Genomic DNA, 25,769 nt, shown 5'->3' on the forward strand with positions numbered 1-25,769 from the left:
GTAATTAAGTACTTCAGGCCGGGAGCAGTGGCCCACCCCTGTAATCCCAGCAATTTGGGAGGCTGAGGCAGGCAGATAATCTGAGGTTAGGGGTTCAAGACCAGCCTGGTCAACATGGCGAAACCCCGTCTCTACTAGAAGTACAAAAATTAGCAGGGTGTGGTGGTTGTAGCCTGTAATTCCAGCTACTCGGGAGGCTGAGGCAGGAGAATCACTTGAACCTGGGAGGTGGAGGTCACAGTGAGCCGAGATCACGCCATTGCACTCCAGCCTGGGCAACAAGAGCGAAACTCCATCTAAAAAAATACTACTAATAGGCCGGGCACCGTGGCTCACGCCTGTAATCCCAGCACTTTGGGAGGCCAAGGCGGGCAGATCATGAGGTCAGGAGATCGAGACCATCCTGGCTAACACAGTGAAACCTCGTCTCTGCTAAAAATACAAAAAATTAGCCGGGCGTGGTTGCAGGCATCTGTAGTACCAGGTACTTGGGAGGCTGAGGCAGGAGAATGGCCTGAACCTGGGAGGTGGAGCTTGCAGTGAGCCGAGATCGCGCCACTGCACTCCAGCCTGGGCGACAGAGCAAGACTCCGTCTAAAAAAAAATTAATTAATTTAAAAATAATAATAATAATTAAGTATGTGGCCGGGCACAGTGCCTCATGCCTGTAATCCCAGCACATTGGGAGACCGAGGCAGGCAGCTTGCTTGAACCCAGGGGTTCTAGACCAGCCGGGACAATGTAGTGATACCTTATCTCTACAAAAAAATAAAAAATTAACCAGGCATGGTGGTGCATGCCCATGGTCCCAACTATCTAGGAGACAGAGGTGGGAGGATCACTTCAGCCCAGAAGTTCAAAGCTACAGTGAGTCATGATCACGTCACTGCACTCCAGCCTGGGTGACAGAGCAAGAACCTGTATCAAACAACAATAATAATAAAACCAGACACGATGGCTCACCCCTGTAATTCCAGCACTTTGGGAGGCCGAGGCAGGCAGATCACTTGAGGTCGGAAGTTCCAGACCAGCCTGACCAACATGGAGAAACCCCATCTCCACTAAAAATACAAAATTAGCCGGGCATGGTGGTGCATGCCTGTAATCCCAGCTACTTGGGAGGCTGAGGCAGAATTGCTTGAACCCGGGAGGTGGAGGTTGCAGTGAGCCAAGATGGCACCGTTGCACTCCAGCCTGGGCAACAAGAGTAAAACTCTGTCTCAAAAAAAAATAATAAATAATAATAATAACAACAATAATAATTAAGTATTTCAGGGTAAAATGATAGGATGTCTGGGATTTGTTTCAAAATATTTCAGTGGGAGGGTGGGGAGGATGATGAGGAAGGATCAGTTGAGTAGATAAAACAAGAATGATATTGTTTTATTGATAACTATTGCAATTGGCCAATGTCTGCTGGTGATTCATTATACTATTCTCTCTATGTTTGAATATGTTTTAAGCTTCTATGACACTATTTTCTTTTTTTTTTTTTTGAGACAGAGTTTCGCTCTTGTCTCCCAGGCTGGAGTGCAGTGGCGTGATCTCAGCTCACTGCAACCTCTGCCTCCCAGGTTCAAGCAATTCTTCTGCCTCAGCCTCCCAAATAGCTGGGATTACAGGTGCCTGCCACCACACCCAGCTAATTTCTTGTATTTTTAATAGAGACGGGTTTTGCCATGTTGGCCACGCTGGTCTCAAACTCCTGACCTTCGGTGATCTGCCCACGTCAGCCTCCCAAAGTGCTGGGATTACAGGCGTGAGCCACCATACCCAGCCTATGAAACTATTTTCAAAGAGTACATAAAGCCCCATCTCACCTTCACTCTTACCTCCCATTACTGTGCCTCATCAACTCTTTGCCCTAGATATCTTTGCACCTACCACCACACTCTCTAGAAAAACACTTATCTGAACTGTCCTTCAATGCCCAATTCAAATTCCTGCTTCCTCTTCAAAGGCTTCCCTGATAGTCCCCAAAAGCATGAGCCCTCTCTCTTTTCTGAACTCTCATAGCACTTCAACTCAGTTGGTATCTGTCATCATTAGCTTTTTCTTTTTAATTAATTAATTTTTTTTAGACGGGGTCTCGCTCTATGCCCAGGCTGGAGTGCAATGGCATGCTCATGGTTCTCTGCAGCCTAGGCCGCCCAGGCTCAAGTGATTTTCCCACCTCAGCCTCCCTAGAAGCTAGGACTACAGGTGCATACCACCATGCCTGGCTAATTTTTTTTTTTTTTTTTGAGACGGAGTTTCGCTCTTGTCGCTCAGGCTGCAGTGCGGTGGCGCAATCTTGGCTCACTGCAATCTCCACCTCCCAAATTCAAGCAATTCTCCTGCCTCAGCCTCCCAAGTAGCTGGGATTACAGGCATGTACCACCATACCCAGCTAATTTTGTATTTTTAGTAGAGATGGGTTTTCATCAGGTCGGTCAGGCTGTTCTTGAACTCCTGACCTCAGTTGATCTGCCTGCCTCAGCCTCCCAAAGTGCTGGGATTACAGGCATGAGCGATTACGCCCGGCCAATGCCTGGCTAATTTGTGTGTGTTATTTTGTAGAGACAGAGTTTCACCATATTGCCCAGACTAGTCTCGAGCTCATGGGCTCAAGCAATCTGCCTGCCTCGGCCTCCCAAAGTGCTGGGATTACAGGTGTGAGCCACTGCGCCCAGCTGTTTTATTTTCTTGATTAGCTTTTTCTCATTTTGCACCCCTGACTGGATCTGAAGCCCTCATAACACTGGCCACATGCTTGTTTGTTATTCTCTTAGCATGACCGCTTCACCCCGGAATCTGTCCAAAATAATTTTGACGAATGAATAAATGATGGCAATGGCTCTTGAAAAGTGCTGACCTAAAGGACAACACACTAAGATAAGAATCTGGAAATCTGAGTGAGTCCTTGCATTAGGCAGGGTTACCAGGGATACAAAACTCATTCTGGTTGAAGCAAAAAGCTGGAATGCATTGATTCCAATAACTAGAAAGAAGAGGTGTAGATTCAGAGACCTCATGGTATTTTCGGTTGCCTCTCCACTTCCCCTTTTCTCCAGCTCTAGGTTTGGTTGTGACAAACTCTGCTCTTAGCCCAGCTTTGCAAACTGGAAGGAAAAATAAAGTAATTTTTTTCTCCCAACACGCACATATACATACCTCAATGTAAGTTTCTGATTGGTCCAGATCGCGTCTCCTGCCTGTTCTTAGGCCAATCACTGTGGTGAAGGGAACGAGACACTGTGATTGGCCAGATCTGGATCACAGGTTCTCCCTGTGGCCAGCAAACAGGCAGACCCATGAGAATGGCATAGTCAAGAGAGTGACAGTTTCCCCAAGAGAAAGAGAAGTGCAGTTGCTAAAAGGATGGAGGAAACGAATCCCGAGCAGAACCCCTCCTCCCCTCCCCTGCGAAACAAATGACTCTGGACCAACTATCTAGTAACAACATAATAATTGTCACGACTTGTTGAGCTCTTACTATTATCAGAGAACGCGCCAGTACTTTGTAATGTAAATATAATTACCTTTATAAAGCAATGTATATACATCTAGCCCTCTGAACAACTCAAAAGGTAGATGTTATTAGGCCCATTTCACGGATACTAAAACTGAGACTTAAATAGGCCAATGGACCTGTTCAAGGACCTGCTGTTTGCCACAATTGCTTCTTTGTGCTTCAATTTTCCTGTATATAGGGCTTCCTAATATTGCTGTACCTTTCAAAGATGTTTTTGACATGAAAGAGAAAGAAGTATGTCAAGGTTTTGAGACTTACTCATTCCACCCATGACGTGCCCTGGCCTGCATTTTCCTATGTGTAGCCTTCAAGGCCACGTCCTCCACAGAGTCTGCCTGACTCCTCCAGAGATCAGTGAAGCCTCCTTGCTCCAGATTCCCCAGCAACTCCCCCACAGCGCTCTCCTGGCAGCCATCACCTTCTCTCCCACATCATAGATATGTGGCTGTTAGCTCCCTCGCTACACTGTCTGGTATAGAGAAAAGGGACCATTTCTAATGCAACTTCCTATATAGCATGCATTTAACCCATACATGATAGGCTTTAACTAAACATTTGGTTAATTAAATGATGCATGTGTTTAATTAACGTATAGATGAAGAATTCCTCTATAAATTCAAGGCACAGCTGTTTGGGCTTCAAGTAAAAACACAGAAAGTTAGAACTATAAGAAGTCGCCTTCATTCAGGGCCAGTCTATAAGCTATTTGTTACTGAACCACAACAAAATAAGTCCAGAAATTGAGAATACACATTTAGAAACATTTATGACAGTCTAGTAGATTAAGTTTATGTCTGCTGAATCTAATAATAAAAAATAACTTAGACTTGTGTTCCGTATGTCTTTACTTTATAAATTAATTTTCTGATCATTCATTTTTACTCCATTTTACAATGTATCTGTTTGCAATGGACTGGGAATTTTTAAATATTTTTCTTCACCAGAGATAGTTGGAGAAGCACAAATCTTATCTAAACTGTCACTCAGAGCAGGAGGCCCTTCTCTATTTCTGGCCAACCAGCCTGTTTTTAATGCTTTCTAGCAAGGCATTCACACCATCCCAGTTCCACTCTCAGATTGTTTCATAACTTAACTATTTCCTTTCTGACCTTGAAAGGTTCTCCAGCTCCGTGAGAGAAGAACGCAGACTTCCTCAGCCTAGGATGGAGTTGGGGGGTGACAGGCTTCCATAGGAAGAAGTGAAAATTTTCCCTTTACTCACTCAGGACATCTGGATTCTCAGACCCAGTTTTCTCATCTGCAAAATAAGAAGCTTCAATTTCTGATGCTTTATGATCCCCTTGTTCATTCATGAGCTTTAAGATATGAAGGAAGTTCCTGCTTCTGAAGAATAGCCCATCACTGCCCCCTCCCCTGGAAAAAACTCCCTTTATATTTATTTATTTTGTTGTTGTTGTTTGTTTGAGATGGAGTCTCACTGTATCACTCACGCTGGAGTGCAGTGGTGTGATCTCAGCTCACTGCAACCTCCGCCTCCCAGGTTCAAGCCATGCTCCTGCCTCAGCCTCCAGAGTAGCTGGAATCACAGGCACCTGCCACCATGCCCGGCTAATTTTTGTATTTTTAGTACAGACGGGGTTTCACCATGTTGGACAGGCTGGTCTCGAACTCCTGACCTCAGGTGATCTGCCCGCCTCAGCCTCCCAAAGTACTGGGATTACAGGCGTGAGCCACCGTGCCTGGCTGAGAACTCCCTTTTTAACATGAGTGATCTGATTGTACAGCTGCAGGATATCTCATGTGTCACTTACACGGGATTAAAGAGTATTAGATCCGCCAGGCGCAGTGGCTCACGCCTGTAATCCCAGCACTTTGGGAGGCTGAGGTGGGCGGATCATGAGGTCAGGAGATCGAGACCATCCTGGCCAACACGGTGAAACCCTGTGTCTACTAAAAAAAAATACAAAAAATTAGCCGGCCGTGGTGGCGGTCGCCTGTAGTCCCAGCTACTCGGGAGGCTGAGGCAGAAGAATGGCGTGAACCCGGGAGGCGGAGCTTGCAGTGAGCCGAGATTGCGCCACTGCACTCCAGCTTGGGCGACAGAGCGAGACTCTGTCTCAAAAAAGAAAAGAAAAGAGTATTAGATCAGCTGGGTGCAGTGGCTCACAACTATAATTGCAAAACTTTGGGAGGCCAAGTGGGAGCATCGCTTGAGCCCAGGAGTTCAAAACCATCCTAGGCAACATAGCAAGACCTCATCTCTACTAAAAATTAAAAAATTAGCCAGGTGTGGTGGTGCATGCCTATGGTCCCAGCTACTTGGGAGGCTAAGGTGGGAGCATCCCTTGAGCCCAGGAGTTCAAGGTTATAGTTAGTTATGATTGCACCACTGTACTCCAGCCTGGGTGACAGAGGAAGGCTCTGTAAAGAAAGAAAGAAAGAGAGAAAGAGAGAAAGAGAGAGAGAGAGAGAGGAAGGAAGGAAGGAAGGAAGGAAGGAAGGAAGGAAGGAAGGAAGGAAGGAAGGAAGGAACGAAGGAAGGAAGGAAGGAGAGAGAAAGAGAGAAAGAAAGAAAGAGAGAGAGACAGAGAACAGAGAAAGAGAAAAAAAAAAAAGAAAGAGAAAGAGAGAAAAGAAAGAAGAGCCGGACGCGGTGGCTCACGCCTGTAATCCCAGCACTCTGGGAGGCCGAGGCGGGTGGATCACAAGGTCAGGAGTTCAGGACCAGCCTGGCCAAAATGGTGAAACCCCGTCTCTACTCAAAATACAAAAATTAGCCGGGCATGTTGGCAGGTGCCTGTAATTCCAGCTACTTGAGAGGCTGAGGCAGAGAACTGCTTGAACCCGGGAGGTGGAGGTTGCAGTGAGCCGAAATCGTGCCACTGCACTCCAGCCTGGGCAACAGAGAGCGAGACTCTGCCTCAGAAAAAAAAGGAAAGGAAGGAAGGGAGGGAAAAAGGGAAAAATAGTGATGTATGGCAATTCTTCAAATATAGGTGTGATATTTTGCATGTCAAATTTGATTCAACTGTTAATTAAAAAAACAAAGCAACATAGCATTTTCTCAGCATTTTTAAATTGAATAAAATGTAAATCTTTCATGCTTACTGTAATGAAGCCAGACAATTTAGAAAAACAAAACCATTCTTCTGATAACTCAGTAAATTTTAAATACACATACAAATATACCAGAAAATGCATTTTTGTAACTATTTTTAAAACTGTAGATGAAAACACAAAGATTAAAACTGATGAAATGAAACAGGCATACATAAAAAATTGAATGCAATACAAAAACAATATTATTTCTACTTCAAAAAAAGAATATTTTATTTATTAAGCCATAGCACTTTGGGAGAATGAGGTGGGTGGATCACCTGAGGTCAGGAGTTCAAGACCAGCCTGGCCAAAACGGCAAAACCTGGTCTCTACTAAAAATACAAAAATTAGCCAGGCACGGTGGCACATGCCTGTAACCCCAGCTACCAGGGGGACTGAGGCAGGAGGATCACTTAAACCCAGGAGGCAGAGGTTGCAGTGAGCCGAGATCGTGCCACTGCACTCCAACCTGGACAACAGAGCAAGACTGCTTCTAAAAAACAAAACAAAACACAACAAATATATATATACGTCAATGAATATATTCAGATTATTTGTAAAATAGAGTGGAAAAGAAAATTGGATGATATTTGTAAGTTAATCACATAAAACAACAAACATAACAACACCAGTATCATCACCTCAAAGGTAAATTGTAAATATGGAGACAATTGATTTTACAAGTCACATGTGAAATTATTATTTCATTCTGAATGAAATGGGGCTTTCAATACATTTTTAGCATGTCTAGAAACAAGTTTGTTCATGTGTTTCTAGTAATATATTATTTAAAATAGTAATTATACTGGTGACATAAACCTCAAACCAAAATTAAATCTGTATCAGAAGTTATCCCACCTGATGTAAGCAGGTTGTCCTTGCTTAAATAAAGCCATCCTCAAAGGTGTGAACGACCCCTGCTGAGGTCAGGGGAGTTGCCCAGGCAACTCTCAGATGCATGAACTATAAACACTTACAGTTTTATGCTGCTGAGCTTTCCTGATTGTTTCTTGCACAGCCTTGTTGGGACAATATTAAAAAGCTGCGGTGATTTTTAAATATACTCACACATTTTTGAGAATCCTCCCTTTAAGAGGTGGAGCCTCACTTCCCTCCCCTTGGGTGTGGGCTGGACTTAGCTTTTGGCTTCTAATGCACAGAATAAAGTGAAAGTGATGGGTGTGACTCTGGAAGGCAGATCATAAAATGCGCTGCAGCTCCCTCCTCCCTCTCTCTGAGATTGCTTGCTCTGGGGGAAGTTAGCCCACATGAGAGCACAAGCTGCATGGTGAGGAAGAGAGGCTTCCTGCCAACACCCAGCAAGGAATGGAGGCCCTGCCAGAAACCACCCTAGTGAGCCATCTTGGAAGCAGACCCCCAGCCCCAGCTAAGCATTCAGATGACTGCAGCCCTAACCAACATCCTGAGTACAGTCACGTGAGAGATCCTGAGCAAGAGCCACTCATCTAAGCCTCTCCTGAATCCCTGGCCCACAATTACAGTGAGATTAAAAAGTAAAATTGGCCAGGCATGGTGGCCCATGCCTGTAATCCCAGTACTTTGGGAGGCCGAGACAAGTGGATCATTTGAGGTCAGGATTTCGAGACCAGTCTGACCAACATGGTGAAACACTGTCTCTACTAAAAATACAAAATTAGCCAGGCATGATGGTGCATACCTGTAATCCCAGCTACTTGGGAGGCTGAGGCAGGAGAATGGCTTGAACCCAGGAGGTGGAGGTTGCAGTGAGCCAATATTGCACCATTGCACTCCAGCCTGGGCAACAAGAGTGAAACTCCATCTCAAAAAAAAAAAAAAAAAGAAAAGAAAACAAGGCCAAATGTGATGGCTCATGCCTGTAATCCCAGCACTTTGGGAGGCGAAGGTGGGAGGATCACTTGAGTCCAGGAGTTCGAGACCAGCCTGGGCAACATGGTGAGACTCCATCTCTAGTTGGGCATGGTGGTGCCTGCCTGCAGTCCTAGCTCCTCAGGATGCTGAAGTGGGAGGATTATTTGAGCTCAGGAGTTCGAGGTTGCAGTGAGCAGTGATTGCACTCAGGCTGGGTGACTGAGTGAGACCCTGTCTCAAAAAAAACAAAAAAAAAGATAAAATAAAAAATTGTTTTAAACTGCTAAATTTTTGAGTGATTTGTCACATAGCAGATAGGGATGCTGTTTAGAGCCTTTGGCAGGCCCCCATAGGTGAATCACAGTGAAGGCCTCTAGGATTTTGGAGCAAGGCCCTGCCATCTTCTGCAGATAACTACCTTCATTTTTAGAGACAGCTCTTGGCCTGTTACTGGGCTTTGGTGGAAACTGAACGTTTGATTATGGGTCATCAAGTCACCATGCGACCTGAACTGCCTGTCATACATAAACTGGGTGCCTTCTGACCCATCTAGCCACACAGTGGGGCGTGCACAGCAGCATTCATTATCAAATGGAAGTGGTATATACATAACCGAGCTCAAGCAGGTAGTTGCAGCCACTCAGGAGGCTGAGGCAGGAGGATAGCTTAAGCCCAGGAGACTGAGGCTGCAGTGAACCATAATGATGCCTCTGCGCTCCAGCCTGGGTGACAGAGTGAGACCCTGTCTCAAAAAAAAAAACAAAAAAAAGAAAAAAGAGAGAAACTAAAACTAAAGAATAGCTCAATAAATATACGATATTCATGGATTAGAAGACTCAATACTGAAGGTCAGTAATTTCATCAGAAACAAATGAGAAAAAAAAAGAAGATTCAATACTGTTATCATATTGCCAGTGCTTCACAAATCGATCTGTTGATTCAATGCAATCTCCATCAAAATCTCAGAAGGCATTTTTGTAGAAACTGGTAAGATGATTCTAAAATTTAGATACAAATACAAAGAATTTAGAAAATCTGAAACAATTTTGAAAAAGGAGAATACTGTTGGGAAAATTATATTACTTTACTACAGTGGTATTTAAGAGAATGTATTAAGTCCAAAAGTAGACACGCTGTATAGCTAATTTTTAGCCAAGGTGCACAAACAATTTAATAGAGATACATATATCAATAAAAGGTTCTGTAACAACTAACTACTTATATCTTTAAAAATAAACCTCTACTCAGATCACAAAACACACAAAAAAATTGATTTGAGGTGAATCATAGACCTAAACATCAAAGATCACTTGCAAAGCTTCTGGAAGAAAACATGGGAGAATGTTCTGATGACTTTGGAGAAGGCCAACATTTCTTATGTGGGTCAGAGAAAGCAGTTGCTATAAAAGGAGAAAAAAAAGTTAAAATGGCTTCATCAGCATTGAAACTTCTGCTCAGCAAAAGACACCATTAAGAAAATGAAGGCCAGATGCAGTGGCTCACATGTGTAATCCCAGCACTTTGAGAGGCCCAGGTGGGAGGATTGCTTGAGCCCTGGAGTTTGAGACCAGCCTGGGCAACATAGCAAGACCTCATCTCTACAAAAAATTTAAAAATTAACCAGGAGTGGTGGTGTGGGCCTGTGGTCCCAGCTACTTGGGAGGCTGAGGCAGGAGGATTGATTGAGCCCAGGAGGTCAAGGCTGCAGTAAGTCGTGATCACATGACTGCACTCCAGGCTGGGCAACAGAGCTGTCTCAAAAAGAAGAAAAGAAAACAAAAACGCAAGACAAACATTAGGAGAGAATGTTTACAATATACATATCTGACAAAGAACTAACAAAAAATTTAATGTAAGTTACATTTCCTTCACCATCCTTTGTGCTCTCTCAACAGTAACCATTAAGCAAACCATTTTACACTCCTAAACTCACCACCAAGCCAATTACCCCACAAGGCAGCTTAGAGCGTGGCTACCGTGGGAGCAAAAAGCCACATCTCTCTGTGTGTACACCCCCTGAATGGGAGGGTGGTGTTTAATCCAGCACTCCCAATTGTCTTCATCAACAAACAGGAGCTGCGAGCCATATGATTCCAGAAAGAGATGGCTCTCTAAAGATTTGTCATCTCAGTTCTTCCCTGGAGCAGAGTCCTAGGGCAGAGGACTCAATAATCAAATGTCCATTTAGCAGCTGTAAGAAAACAGAACGACACCAGAACATCTGAGGGCTGCAAAAACGTATATTGTCCAAAATGATTTTTTTTTTTTTTTTGAGACAGAGTTTCGCTCTTGTTGCCCAGGCTGGAGTGCAATGGCGCAATCTCGGCTCACTGCAACCTCTGCCTCCCAGGTTCAAGCGATTCTCCTGCCTCAGCGTCCTGAGTAGCTGGGATTACAGGCATGCGCCACCATGCCCAGCTAATTTTGTATTTTTAGTAGAGACAGGGTTATTCCATGTTGGTCAGGCTGGTCTCGAACTCCCGACCTCAGGTGATTTGCCCACCTTGGCCTCCCAAAGTGCTGAGATTACAGGCATCGAGCCACCATGCCCGGCCGTCCAAAATGATTTTTAATGATGATGGTAATTAAAGAACACAGAACTAAAATTATAGAAAATGTTTTATCTCCAATTAAGTGACTAATCTTGTTTTATCATTTTTATATGTAGTTTGTATGGGGAAAAAAGTTTCTGCTGCTGAAAGAGTATAAGAACCATGGATTTCATCTAGGGTTTTTTTGTTGTTGTTGTTGTTTTTGTTTGTTTTTTTAAAATGAGCCACAGAGATGTAATGTGCCTTGCTTAAAGCCATTCAGCTAAAGATATCAGACTGGGACGTTTGCTCTCAGTTCAGTGCTCTTGAGTCTGGAGTAGGTTGAGTTTGAAGCATTGAGAAGGTACCTGGATGTATAAACTTAAGGGGTTGGTTAGGCATTACCAACTAGAAATTCTATTCTGATGTGCAAGAAATTAATTAATTGTATAATTGTTGCTTTCTTCCTGATATCTTTACCCAAGCATCTATATAAATTTAACTAATATGCAAGTGAATAACAGATGTGCATGTAGAGATCAGTTTTGGGAAATTCCATTCAAAATGTAGAGAAATGTCTAGAAATCTGAGTTTAGGAAACAAAATTCAGAAATTCCAGACTCTTCCTAAGGAGGATACCCAGAACAAAACTGATGGCACACGGTAAATCGTTATCTAAGCAACAGCTTGAATCCTGTCTCTGGTTTATGACTCTGTATGAAAAAAGAAAATAAACTTGGAGAATAGGAAAGATCCCAGACTGGGTGTGGTGGCTCATGGCTGTAATCCCAGCACTTTGGTAGGCCAAGGCAGGAGGATTGCTTGAGCCCAGGGAGTCTGAGACTCCCTGGACATCATGGACAACATAGTGAGACTCCATCTCTACAAAAAATGCAAAAACTTAGCCAGTCCTGGTGGCACGCATCTGTGATCCCAGCTACGCGGGAGACTGAGGCAGGAGGATCACTCGCACCTCGTAGGCCAAGGCTGCAGTGTGCTATGATCACGCCACTGTACTCCAGCCTGAAGGACAGAGCAAGACCCTGTCTCAAAAAGGAAAAGAAAATTTTTCATAATTGGAGAACTAGTTCAACCTTTCTTAAAACATTAAGTTAAACACTTTATTAAACATTTAAGAAACATACGTAATAAATTAACTAATAATATTTCATAGGTTTTACCATAATTAAACAAAACGTTAAATGCAGAAAACTGTATTCTACAATAGGACACATACATACAAAATCAAGAACATACACTTTGACCTAATCATTCTGTTTCTGGGACTATAGCCTAAAGATATATAATATTGATAAATTGTTTAAGCACAAAAATGTTCTTTGTAACTTTTTTTTTTGAAACAGAGTCTCGCTCTGTTGCCAGGCTGGAGTGCAGCGGCACGATCTCGACTCACCGCAACCTCCACCTCCCAGGTTCAAGCGATTCTCCTGCTTCAGCCTCCTGAGTAGCTGGGATTAAAGGCGCCTGCCATCACACCCGGCTAATTTTTGTATTTTTAGTAGAGACGAGGTTTCCCCGTATTGGCCAGGATGGTCTCAATCTCTTGACCTCGTGATGCACCCGCCTCCGCCTCCCAAGGTGCTGAGATTACAGGCATGAGCCACAGCACCCGGCCCCCTCTTTGTAACTTTTTTTTTATAGCAGTGAAAGACTGAATTCTGCCTAGATGTCCAACAAAAGGGGAATGGTTAAGTAAACCAAAGTTGAACCATAGGACAGACTATTTTATATATATATATTTTATATATATATATATTATATATATACACACACACATATATATATACACACACATATATATAGTATAGAGAAAATGTGGTAATAAGGGAAAATAAGCATTACTAATATTTATTATTTTCTGAAAGCCAAGAATGGTATTAAGAGCTTTATACACGTTGGCTCCTTTCAACTTTACAATAATCTACTAAGGAAGTCTTTTTCTGGCTGTGTTTTTAGAAATGAGAAAGTAAGGGCTGGGCACAGTGGCTCATGCCTGTAATCTCAGCACTTTGGGAGGCCGAGGTGGAGGATCACTTGAGACCAGGAGTTCAAGACCATCCTGGGCAACATAGGGAGACACTGTCTCTATTTTACAAATCTAAAAATCAGCCGGGTATGATAGTGTGTGCCTGTAGTCCCAGCTACTCAGGAGGCTGAGACAAGAGGATCATTTGAGCTCAGGAGATTAAAGCTGCAGTGAGCTGTGATCATGCTATTGCTCTCCAGCCTGGGCAACAGGGTGAGATCCTGACTCAAAAAAAAAGAGAGAGAGAGAGAGACAGAGACGAAGCTAAGCCTTAGCAACATTGTATAATTTATCCAAGGTAATACAATGTATTAGATAAAGGGTCAACTAAGCTGCTATAACAAAAAGCCCATGTGTACAGTGGTTTAAATAAGATAGAGGTTTATTTGTCATATAGCCCAGAAGTGTGAGAGGTGGATCTGCTTTCCTCAACATGTGGCTTCCAAACAGGCTCCAATTAATCCCACTGTCCCGCCAGCAGAAAGGGCAAGAGAGAACTAGAAGCAGGAATTAGGCCAGGAGCAGTGGCTCACACCTGTAATCCCCATATTTTGGGAGGCTAAGGCAGGAGGATCACTTCAGGCCAGGAGTTTGAGACCAGCCTGGGAAACACACCAAGACCCCCATCTCTACAAAAATATTAGCCAGGCATGGTAGCACATACCTGTAGTCCTAACTACTTGGGAGGCTGAGGCAGAAGGATCGCTTGAGCCCAGGAGATTGAGGCTGCAGAGAGCTATGATCATACTGTTGTACCCCACCTTGAGTGACACAGCAGGATCCTGTCTCCAAAAACAATGGTGGGGAGAATTAACAAGATGACCCAGAAATTGCACAAGTTACCTCTGCCCACACCCCACTGGTCCAAATGTGGTCACATGTCCAGAGTTAGCTGGGCAGGGTAGTCTGTAGCTGAGGAACTACGTGGTCAGCAAAAACTCCAGGATGTGATTTTACTAAAAGGAAAAAGATGAAAATAGATACTGGGGAGAGTCAGTAGTCTCAACGGACTAATAAGTAGAAGAACTAAAATTGAAACCCCAAAACCTTGGCCCATTTGAATCCAGAGCTCTCTTTCTCAACCACATCAAAGTGCTCTAAACACTTGAAAAATTTTTTTGCCAGGTGCAGTAGCTCATGCCGGTAATTCCAGCACTTTGGGAGGCTGAAGCTAGAGGATTGTTTGAGCCCAGGAGTTCAAGATCAGCCCTGGCAACACAGCAAGATTCTGTCGGTATAAAATATTCTAAAATTAGCCAGGCATGTTGGACCATGCCTGTAGTTCTAGCTACTTGAGAGGCTGAGGTGGGAGGATTGCTTGAGCCCCAGAGGTTGAAGCTGCAGTGAGCTGTGATTGCACCACTGCACCCCAGCCTGGAAAACAGAGCAAGACCCTACCTCAAATAAAAATTAAAATTAAAATTAAAATTAAAAAAAGAAACAGAAAGAAAAGAAAGAAAAACTTTCTTTCCTTGGTTTCCATGATTTTTTCCTCTTTTTCTACTGAGGCTTCAGGTTCTCTTCAGGCCTAACAGAGGGGATCCCACTCCCTCACCCCAATTCCAACCCACCGTACCCCACTAGCCATGTCTATTATTGGCTCCCCAGGTACTATATGATCCTTGTGGTTTTCCTACGTCCTGCCCGCAGCTTTGTAAATAGTCCCTTTAATTAAAACTCTGCAAAATACCCAGTTTGGATGTGCCATGTGTTTCCTGCCAGGACCTTGACTGAGTCTCCTCATTCATGGTTGACTGTACAGGGCAGTGGTCAAAGAAGGCTTTCAGACTCATTAAAGTGAAATATTTATGCTATTGTTTGGATGATGATGTCCCCTCCAAAATTTATGCTGAAACTTAATTCCCAGTGCATCTAAGAGGTGTGGTCTTTGCAACGTGATTAAGTCTTGAGGGCTCTCCCTCATGAATGGTATTAGCATCCTTAGAAAAGGGGTTGAGGTTAAAGGGAGCAACCTCTTGCCCTTCAGTCCTTTCTGCCATGTAAGGACAGTGTTCATCCCCTCTGGAGGATGCAGAAACAAGGCACCATATTGGAAGCAAAGAGCAGCCCTCACCAGACACTAGCCTTGCTGGCGCCTTGATCCTGGACTTCCCAGCCTCCAGAACTGTGAGACACAAACTTCTGTTGTTTATAAATTACCCAGTCTGTGCTGTATTTTGTTGCAGCAGCACAAATGGACTACACAATCTATAAAACTTAGAAATATCTTCTGCTCACATTGACCTGTCTTCCCCAATAGAAAATAAGGTCCAGGAAGACTGTGGCTAGCCTTTTACTATTTATACTTAGAACCCAGCACAATAACTAGCACAGAGCAGGCTCACTAAATATTAGGTATGAATGAACACTGAGTCCTCCATGTAGTAGTTTTTCAACAAATGTGCATCCGATCAGTAAGTGAGAGGCCCAAATTTTATTTTTAAGTCTCTAAACAATTCCTTATGAAGCCATAAAAGACTTCTTTTTTGAGAAGACACTGCAATATGGACCGTATTTAGCTATGGTGTTCCTATAGTCTCAAATCTGCCTGCACCTTTATGGTTTTAATACTTCCTGTCATTGCAACATGTTCACCAGATTTTCAATTCCCCCTGTGATACTTTGAAGTAAAGTATGATTGAAGAACTGCAGTCTGAACTTGGACAAAGTGTGTAATAAACAGATTGCAGATAATTTCCTTTAAATGTGATCTTAGATGCTAGGAAGACATTAAGCACATCACAGCAAGAACTTTACCAAGGACATGAGATTCAACTTTCCAATCCAATGCAAATACTACCATATTTCATTGAATCTAAGATGCCACTGATTTTTAGATACTCCGTTATATACCACTAAAAAAACAAAAATGATGCCAGTTAAACTCTGACAACAATGCTTTCTTACTGCTTAGAATCTTTCTATACTTATGAAAAGAGGAATTTTAGATTTATTTAATCAAACATTTTCATTACATCTCACACTGGATTTTTTCCATGCATTTCTACAAATACAATAGCTTTTTGTTTCAATGCCAAATCATGCTGTGATATTGTGAAGATACTGTAAATGGCAATTAAATGCATATAACGCAATTAAAGTGACAACAATAAAAATAGCTATGACCAGATTCCTGTAACCATATCACAACTATGACCTGGCCAACAGAATTGTAAGATGCCATCAATTGTAACTATGTATCTTGATTTCAGAGAAGTTCAAATAGGGGAAGGGGTGGGAGGGAGTAAGTCTTGGAATCAATGAAGTATGGGACTTAGCTCAGAATGAAAGTTCAGGGACTAAGTCCTATATTTCGTTACATCTTTGTTTGTTTGTGTGTGTGTTTGAGACGGAGTCTCACTCTGTTGCCCAGGCTGGAGTGCAATGGCACAATCTCGGCTCACTGCAACCTCTGCCACCCAGGTTCAAGCAATTCTCCTGCCTCAGCATCCTGAATAGCTGGCCACCATATCTGGCTAATTTTTTTTTCTGCTTTTTTTTTTTGAGAAGGAGTCTTGCACTGTCACCCAGGCTGGAGGGCACTGGCACAATCTCCGCTCACTGCAACCACCACCTCCCGGGTTCAAGCGATTCTCCTGCCTCAGCCTCCTGAGTAGCTGGGATTACAGGTGCCTGCCACCACGCCCGGCTAATTTTTTGTATTGTTTTCAGTAGAGACAGGGTTTCATTATGTTGGCCAGGCTGGTATCTAACTCCTGACCTCATGATCTGCCCGCCTCGGCCTCCCAAAGTGCTGGGATTACAGGTGTAAGCCACTACACCCGGCCCCACGTCTGGCTAATTTTTGTAGTTTTAGTAAAGACAAGCTTTCACCATATTGGCTGGTCTTGAGCTCCTGACCTCGTGATCCACCCTCCTCGGCCTCCCAAAGTGCTGGGATTACAGGCGTGAGCCGCCACGCCCAGTACATCTTTTGTAACATGAGTGTTAGGAAGTGGTAAGATTCGGAAAATGAGAAAGAATGGGTAGGGGAGGCAACAATTAGAGAGTGCAAATTCTCACTAGTTTCAAATTCATCTTTTGCAGGTTACAAATGTTTATCAATGTTTATCAAGTTACAAATACTTTTTTGAAAAATCACTCACTAAATAGTTTACTTTTTTTTTTTTTTTTTTTTTGTCACCCAGGCTGGAGTGTAGTGGCATGATCTCAGCTCACTGCAACCTCCATCTCCCTGGCTCAAGCAATTATCCGGCCTCAGCCTCCTGAGTAGCTGGGATTACAGGCTCCCATCACCATGCCCAGCTTATTTTTGTATTTTTAGTAGAGATGGGGTTTCACCGCATTGGCCAGGCTGATCTCGAACTCCTGACCTCAAGTGATCCACCCACCTTGGCCTCCCAAAGTACTGGGATTACAGTTGGCACATTAAATATTTGCTGGTTAATGGTTGCTTAAGGTAAGGCTGAGAGCTAAAGAACAATCTAACGACTTGATTATTGAAGACAACAATCTAGATTACAGGGAATTCCTCAAATTACCCAGGAGGAAATGCTTGTTATGCTCAAATTCAGTGCTGGGTGTTTCCAAAATCAACCCCCAGAAAATCCTTTTTTTTTTTTTTTTTTGAGACAGAGTTTTGCTCTTGTTGCCCAGGCTGGAGTGCAATGGTGCGATCTCGGCTCACCGCAACCTCTGCCTCCCAGGTTCAAGCAATTCTCCTGCTTCAGCCTCCCGAGTAGCTGGGATTACAGGCATGCGCCACCATGGCCTGGTTAATTATTTTTTGGATTTTTAGTAGAGACGGGGTTTCTCCATGTTGGTCACGCGGGTCTCGAATTCCTGACCTCAGGTGATCCTCCCACCTCGGCCTCCCAAAGTGCTGGGATTATAGGTGTGAGCCACCGCGCCTGGCCAAAAGAGGGAAAATCTTATATTTTAGTCCTTACAAAGTCTTTCATACTGTAAAGTACTCTCTCCATTATTTTATTTTGAACTACAAAATATGGTTTGAGGAAGACATATTAGCCTAACTTAATACTAGCTTGGATGCTTATAATCTAATGAAGTTGACTATTTAAAGGGCATATTGTTATTCATTAACCATATCTGGAGGTATGAAAATTGTAAGTGCAGGGTGTCATTTTAATCAAGCCTTTCCAAAATCACCAAATGTAATTAGGCTGTGAAGAGCACAGATGAGTCAGGAAGCCAATAAGGAGAAATAAAAAACCCATTGGCCTTAACATTACATGAATGGCTACTTGTGACTTGGGGTAGAATTTCAGTGACCACATCATTCATAGATTCAGAAAGTGCTGTATCTCAAATAATTTAAACACAAATACAAAGTGTTCAGAAAAACTGTGAGTCTGGTGATGGAGTTCAGAACATGCTGCCCCAAAATATGACACGTTGGCACTGGAGAAAACAGCAGAAGCAAGAAGCCTCCTCTCACCTTCCTCTTGCCCTTCTCCCCTAGAACACGTCATAAAAACATCATTTCAGAGGAATCCTTCCTATTGCTGGAGGAAAGGAACATCCTTATCCTGGGAGACAAGGGAGGGCCAAGAAGAATCTGAACAGGCTTGCTAAGTTCCTGCCAATTTACTATCATCAGATCACAGCCCCTCTGTCCAACCATACTTCCCTATGACTGTCCACTCTTCACTGAACCTAGACATAAAAACAGTTTCCTCTGGGCCGGGCGCGGTGGCTCACGCCTGTAATCCCAGCACTTCGGGAGGCCGAGGTGGGCAGATCATGAGGTCAGGAATTTGAGACCAGCCTGGCCAACATAGTGAAACCCTGTCTCTACTAAAAATACAAAAATTAGCCGGGCGTGGTGGCACATGCCTGTAATCCCAGCTACTCAGGAGGCTGAGGCAGGAGAATTGCTTGAACCTGGGAGGCAGAGGTTGTGGTGGGTCGAGATCACACCACTGCACTCCAGCCTGGGTGACAGAGCGAGACTCCAACTCAAAAAAAAAAAAAAAAAGTTTCCTCTGTTTCTTTGGCTCTTCATTTGTGAAGGCTCCTGTGTCACATAAAACTTCTATTAATAAATTTATATGCTTTTCTCTTGTTAATCTGTCTTTTGTTATAGGGATTTCAGCAATGAACCTTACAATGCAAGAAGAAAAGATATTATTTTGTTCTCCCCTACCATGGTAATGATGAAAGAAACAGATGCCAAAGATGTATGTATGAGTATGAATTAAAATTTTTCTATCCCATATTTTTTTCTTTTTGAGATGAAGTCTCACGCTGTCACCTAGGCTGGAATGCACTGGCATGATCTCCAGTCACTGCAACTTCTACCCCCGGGTTCAAGTGATTCTCCTGCCTCAGCCTTCCAGGTACCTGGGACTACAAGCATGCACCACCACACTTGGCTAAATTTCTTTGATTTTTAGTAGACACAGGGTTTCACCATGTTGGCCAGGCTGGTCTCAAACTTCTGACCTTAGGTGATCTGCCCGCCTCAGCCTACCAAAGTGTTGTCATCTCATATTTTTAAAGTAATGCATTTTACATTTGACATCAAAAATTACAATTTAGGCCAGGTGCAGGCTCACACCTGTAATCCCAGCATTTTGGGTGGCTGAGGCTGGCAGATTGCTTAAGCCCAGGAGTTCAAGACCAGCCTGAGCAATATAGCAAGACCTCTTCTCTAAAAAGAAAAGAAAAACATTTTTTTAATTACAATGTACATATGTAATTAAATTAATAATTAAATATTGGCCAGGCACGATGGTTCACACCTGTAATCCCAGCACTTTGGGAGGCCAAGGCGAGCGGATCGCCTGAGGTCAGGAGTTCGAGACCAGCTTGGCCAACATGAAACCCTGTCTCTACTAAAAATATAAAAATTAAATGGCCATGGTGGCACGCGCCTGTAATCCCAGCTACTCAGGAGGCTGAGGCAGGAGAATCGCTTGAACCCAAGAGGCGGAGGTTGCAGTGAGCCGAGATTACACCATAGCACTCCAGCCTGGGCAACAGAGTGAGACTTCATCTGAAAAAAAAAAAAATTTAAATATTAAGAGTAGATCTTACACTATTTTCCTCTGTATCTCTAAAAGTGTATATTCAAGTTGGCAAAAAACAAATGGTGTCATTGGGGAAATATAAGTAGCATTATATTCAATGTTGCCTTATATTGCAATGCACATGATTTTTGTCCTGAATTAGCTGGATAATTCCCCCCAATTTTTTATTTCACGTGGTCTTTTTAAATGCCCCTTCCTCTTCAAAAACTATAATAAGATTATAAAAATTATGAGCATAAAATGATGAAACAGAAGAACTCTTAAGTGACTGCAGTTAAAGTTAAATCAATTTATAACAGTATCCAGGAATTTGCCTAAAGGAAAATTTCTTCAAGTCCAACTCAGACTGGAAGTTTCTCTTTCTGCCAAAATAAGCAAGTATATGGCGTTCTCCTCTGTGCCCCACTGTGAAAGAGACACTCTCTCAACAACCACTGATCAAAAGCTCTTTTTGGGGCTCAGAAAAGGATATCCACAAAGTATAGTGTTTTGGCATGCTGAGTACTTTGAACTAAAAGTTTGGAAAGCCTCAGAAGCAGCCTCAGAATCAAGGCTGTAACCATGATAGGTTTGTTGCCCAATACACAAAGCAAATCAATACACCAAGACACCAGATTGCAGCAGAGAAAGAGATTTAATAGTAGGGTCATAGAACTAGGAGACAGGAGGAAACCTCAAATCTGTCCTCCTGAGGAGTTTGGAGGTAGAGTTTTCAAGAGTTTTGGAGTGGGCTGAAGCATAGAGATCATTGACTGGTGGAAGAGTGCAGGGTGAAGTCGCGGGACAGGGAAATGAAGAAGTTGTATCGTCACACTCATCTCATTCCCCTGTAGGGGTCTCCAAACTGGTTGCTGGAATTCCAGGTCTAAAAACATCTTAAGTGATCCTAAAACAAAAAGCTTATGATTCTAATGTCAGAGATCCAGTCTATAGGAACTAGAAACAATGAAGATACAAATCAGTGCTTAGTCTTATGACCCTAATGTCAGAGATCCTGTCTATAGGGACAACAGGGATGCAAACAGTCAGTAACTAGTGCTACGTGATTTTTAGCAACAAGGAAGTGAATCAGAGCACAGCCTGGTGAGTGCTTAATTATGACTGTGTTTCTGTCCGTAATCTAGTATGCAATCCTTGTCAACCCTGTTGGGATGGTTTCAAGGTCTTTCTGACCTTCTGCCATCTTCCTGTCTCCCACCCTTCTTTCTCCTTCAAAGCAAATCATAGAAACTAGAATTCTTCTTCCCCAAGGCAAGTCGTAGAAACTAGATCTCGTTTTCCCCAAAGTGAGACATAAAACCTAGAAATATTACTCTAACTCTATCCCGCTTTTCATGTAGGAGCTGGCCACAAAGAAATTTTTTGACCTACCTTGTGTGATTGTGGGTCATAAGACCCACATTCCAGAGGGGTCCTGCCCTGTACCCGGGAGGAAGGAATGCTACAGAGAGTCCAAGAAGAATCTGAACACACAGGCCTTGCTGGGTTCCCCCGTAAACCAAAAATAAAATTCTAAACCTCCTCCAGCTATCTGAATGGACCCATTCTCTTGGCCAAGGGCATTCCAAAATTAACCTGAAAAACTAGTTCAGGCCATGATGGGAAGGGGGAGTCCAACATGCCTCATCATAGCCTCCTCCCTTTTGAAATTCAGGCCCAGCTGACTAGCATTAACATCAACACAGACCCTAAGACTGACAAACAAACTCTTTAAGTCTAACAAGAAACATTTAGAGGCCAGACACAGTGGCTCACGCCTGTAATCCCAGCACTTCGGGAGGCTGAGGCAGACAGATCACCTGAGGTCAGAAATTTGAGACCAGCCTGGCCAACATGGCGAAACCCCGTCTCTACCGAAAATACAAAAATTAGCCAGGCGTGGTGGTGCACACCTGTAGTCCCAACTATTTGGGAGGCTGAGGCAGGACAATCACTTGAACCAGAGAGGCAGAGGTTGCAGTAAGCTGAGATTGTGCCACTGCACTCCAGCCTGGGGGCGACGGGGCGAGACTCCATCTCAAAAAAAAAAAGCAGCCCCCAAATTATTTCTTTTCTGACAAAAAGCAGCCTAAAAACTCAAGCTGCAAGCATAAATAAGCAAGCTGGAGGCTTGCATAGGTAAATGCCGACAGCTGTGCCCATAGAAAAGGGATACCTGAAAGTGGGGTATACTCAACATGCAGGTTTCCTCTTCCCTTTCCTTTTTTTGCCACGTGTGCAGGTGTCATGGCACACTGGCCAGGTAAAGACCCCATCTGCATAGTATAAAATTACGGTGGGATGGCCAGCCACCTCGCGCCTATGTAAATGAAACTACTGGCCCAGCCAATCCACTGCGTTCTACGTAGATCAGACACCTCCTCCTCAAGCTCCTCTATAAAACCACCCGCATCTCACCCCCAAACCCAGAAACCCTCTCGGGCCCCCTTCTTCTGCACGAGGACGCTCTCTCTTATTTCCTTCAACTATTATACTTCTGCTCTTAAACCCACTCCTTGTGTGTGTCTGCATCTTTAATTTCCTTAGCACAAGACGACAAACCTCGGGTATTTCCCCAGACTAAGAACGCCTGCAGTATGAGATGCTCAATTCGTAGTAGAAAAAGAAAGGGTCCTGATAGGATGAAGCCACCATTCCAGTACGAACTGGTGCAGGGTAAGAGCAGCCTGGGACATTCTGAAAAGGTCAGTGGACAAAACACAGGCCCTGACTAACAAAAGAGGAGAATACACACACAGCGAAGACCCTTCCCTCGGGCACACACGGCTAAAGGTTTCGCCAAGTCCCCAGCAGAGACGGATTATAAATTAATAGCAGAACCACCCTGGAAGGTATTTGTAGCTGTTATATAGAAAATGGTGCTTACATTCAGTGCACAGTAAATTGGATCTAGGTCTCCTTGCACGTGTGGGTTTTGGCATTCTTAATTAATGCCTTTATTATCTCTGTAAAGTGGCAAGCTAATGAACCCCTCCAGGTATTGTTACAGCCATATTCAGAGGAAAACCTTAACTGACAATGAGAGTCCAGATTCTGGTGCCCCGAGGGGATGGACCAGGTAAGGATTATCCCCTGCCCTATGGCGTGCTCCCTTAATAAGCGACACGAGTGTGTTGCGTGTAACAATTACTTAGAAATACTTTTCAGCGAGTACTCTAGAAGAAAAGGGAGATGGATTAAATCAAAGGTTTTCCCGGGCAGCCAACTGTTAAGGAGGAATCTGTCATTTTTCTAGATCAGAAAAAAAAAGGATGTAGTACATGGACAATTATTTTGGTCGCCTCTTTGTTCTTCTCTCTGTTTCTGCTTAATACTTCTCACACACCCCAGTGGCCTTTAGAGGACGTATAAATTTCTCTGACATTACTCTTCTCTCCAGTTCCCTATTCTCATGCAAATTCACCCTATAAGTTCTCTTCTTTCTCATCCCATTCCTATTCTGAAACATAAAAAGCACGAAACCCCCAGAAGCCCCGTGGTTGCGCCCGAAGGGGGAGAGGCTAGATAACCTTTTGTATCTTTTCTGTCACTAATTCCTGATCTGAGCCCAACATGTCCCCACTAATGCCGCTGCCTGGAATGGTCTGCAGTTTGAGCTTTTTCCGCCATCCTATCCAATGCCCTTAGCAATTCACATTCATAAAAAGTGAGATTAAATGTATGTAACTGTTGGCCTGTGCTCCCGAATTCCATTGCTGCCTCTACTAATGATTTCCTGTTAAGGGCAGATTTTTACCTCAGTAAAGGTAGCTATGCCTCCCTTGCTGTCAGGAGCAGTTATTAAGCAGCTAAGCCAGGGCCGGGCACAGTGGCTCGTGCCTGTAATCCCAGCACTTTGGGAGGCCCAGGTGGGTGTATCGCTTGAGCCCAGGAGTTCGAGACAAGCCTGGGCAACATGGTGAAACCCCGTCTCTACTAAAAATACAAAAATTAGCCAGTCATGGTGGCGGGTGCTGTCGTACCAGCTACTCAGGAGGCTGTGGTGGGAGGATCACCTGAGCCTGGGAAGGTCGAGACTGCAGTGAGTCATGATAGCACCACTGCACTCCAGCCTGGGTGACAAAGTGAGACCCTGTCTCAAAAAAAATAAAAATAAAAATAAAAACTAAGCCAGGTTTCTCCAACACAAAATAAATTAGCTAATGAGTTTAGTACATGCAGGGCAAAATATAGCAAAAGAATCATTCATTCACTGAGCAAATATTTATTAATCAGTTACTTTATACCCTGTAGGAAATACACACATATAGAAAAGTCCCTAAATTCAAGAAACTTGGGATCTAGTAGAGGAGATAAAACCAAAACTTTTTGTTTTTGAGACAGAGTCTCGCTCTGTTGCCCAAGCTGGAGTGCAGTGGTACGATCTTGGCTCACTGCAACTTCTGTCTGCCTCCCGGGTTCAAGCGATTCTCCCACCTCAGCCTCCCAAGTAGCTGGGATTACTGGCGCCTGTCACCGTACCCAGCTAATTTTTGTATTTTTAGTAAAGACGGGGTTTCACCATGTTGGCCAGGCTAGTCTCGAACTCCTGACCTCAAGTGATCCGCTCGACTCAGCCTCCCAAAGTTCTGGGATTACAGGTGTGAGCCACCACGCCCGGCCTATATACACTATCTGATTTAACTCCCGCGACAACCCTGAGAAGTAAAGTTACTATCCCCATTTTATAGAGGAAGTGAAGGAGATTCAGACAGGCTGAGTAATTTGTCCAAGAAAACTGGCAATGCAAGAATGTATTTATTTATTTATTATTTTTTGTTTTTTTAAAGACAGGGTCTTGCTCTGCCACCCAGGCTGGAGTGCAGTAGCACAATATGGCTCATGCACCATCAAATTCCTGGGCTTGAGGGATCCTCCTGCCTCAGCCCTCCAAGTAGCTAGGACTACAGGTGTGTGCCACCATGACTGGCTATATTTTTCTTTTTTTTTCTTTTTTTTTTTTTTTTGGTAGAGACAGGTAATGCAAGAATTTTAAAACACTCAGGTCTGTCTGTCCGTCCAAACATACATACTAGATATACTACCTCCTCTTTCTCCAACAGGGAAGTTATGTCAAGGAGAAAACATTTTTTCTTCACTCTCTTAGGTTCAGTACCTAGGGGCCTGCAAATTAACCTGACAAAAGACAGATCAACAAGAGAAAAGACAGATTTTTATTCACATACATACATACCTGGGAGTTCACAGAAAAATGTGACTGAAGGAAGCAGAATTGGGGGCTTATATGCCATCTGAATGGGAAATGTGGGGGAGCAGTGAGGCACTTCTGGGAGAACAACTTACTTCTTAGAAGATGGGGAGAAAAAGCACCTAGGGAAACACAAAGGACTTTTTTTTGAAAGACTGATAGATTCATAGGGGAATAGATAGGCGATATGATAGCCTTGTGAGGATGTCTATTGGGGTGTGATGCTGACTTCTCTCTTCTCTGAGAAGGAAAAATCAGTGTTGCTCCTGGGGAGGGGATTTATGACAGTTGGGTTCTTTGGGGAGGCTCTGATTTTTGGCAAATAAAGGATTTCAGGAATTCAAATGCCTTCAGCTCAAAATAACTTTTGGGCCAGGCACGGTGGCTCACGCCTATAATCCCAGCACTTTGGGAGGCCAAGGTGGGCAGATCACTTGAAGTCAGGAATTTGAGACCAGCCTGGTGAAAACCCATCTCTCCTAAAAATACAAAAATTAACTGGGCGTGGTGGCACATGCCTGTAATCCCAGCTACTCAGGAGGCTGAGGCAGGAGAAGTGCTTGAA

At 43.6% G+C, this 25,769-nt stretch overlaps 1 long non-coding RNA gene across 1 annotated transcript in view, besides 3 other annotated features; it reads right to left on the reverse strand.

Moving 5' to 3' along the window:
* LINC02643 (long intergenic non-protein coding RNA 2643) overlaps window positions 1-7,607 on the reverse strand; it is a 32,718-nt gene extending 25,111 nt beyond the window's left edge. The window contains exons 1-3 of the long non-coding RNA NR_155751.1: window positions 7,552-7,607; window positions 4,624-4,772; window positions 3,154-3,212 (exon numbers count right to left, since the gene is read on the reverse strand). This is a non-coding gene — a long non-coding RNA (long intergenic non-protein coding RNA 2643). The remainder of the gene's footprint in view (window positions 1-3,153; window positions 3,213-4,623; window positions 4,773-7,551) is intronic.
* Window positions 7,459-7,960: an enhancer, noted in NCBI's record as "H3K27ac hESC enhancer chr10:21661731-21662232 (GRCh37/hg19 assembly coordinates)". NCBI's record gives its function as "activates a minimal SCP1, AML or CMV promoter by ChIP-STARR-seq in naive H9 embryonic stem cells {active_cell/tissue: H9 hESC(naive)}" and the evidence as "EXISTENCE:reporter gene assay evidence [ECO:0000049][PMID:30033119]".
* Window positions 7,597-7,891: an enhancer, noted in NCBI's record as "tiled region #12021; HepG2 Activating non-DNase unmatched - State 3:PromF, and K562 Activating DNase matched - State 4:PromP". NCBI's record gives its function as "activates a minimal TATA promoter and a strong SV40 promoter by Sharpr-MPRA in HepG2 and K562 cells {active_cell/tissue: HepG2 | K562}" and the evidence as "EXISTENCE:reporter gene assay evidence [ECO:0000049][PMID:27701403]".
* Window positions 20,456-21,386: an enhancer, noted in NCBI's record as "H3K27ac hESC enhancer chr10:21674728-21675658 (GRCh37/hg19 assembly coordinates)". NCBI's record gives its function as "activates a minimal SCP1, AML or CMV promoter by ChIP-STARR-seq in primed H9 embryonic stem cells {active_cell/tissue: H9 hESC(primed)}" and the evidence as "EXISTENCE:reporter gene assay evidence [ECO:0000049][PMID:30033119]".

Source organism: Homo sapiens, chromosome 10 (assembly GCF_000001405.40).
Source record: "Homo sapiens chromosome 10, GRCh38.p14 Primary Assembly".
NCBI classification, from domain to species: Eukaryota; Metazoa; Chordata; class Mammalia; order Primates; family Hominidae; genus Homo; species Homo sapiens.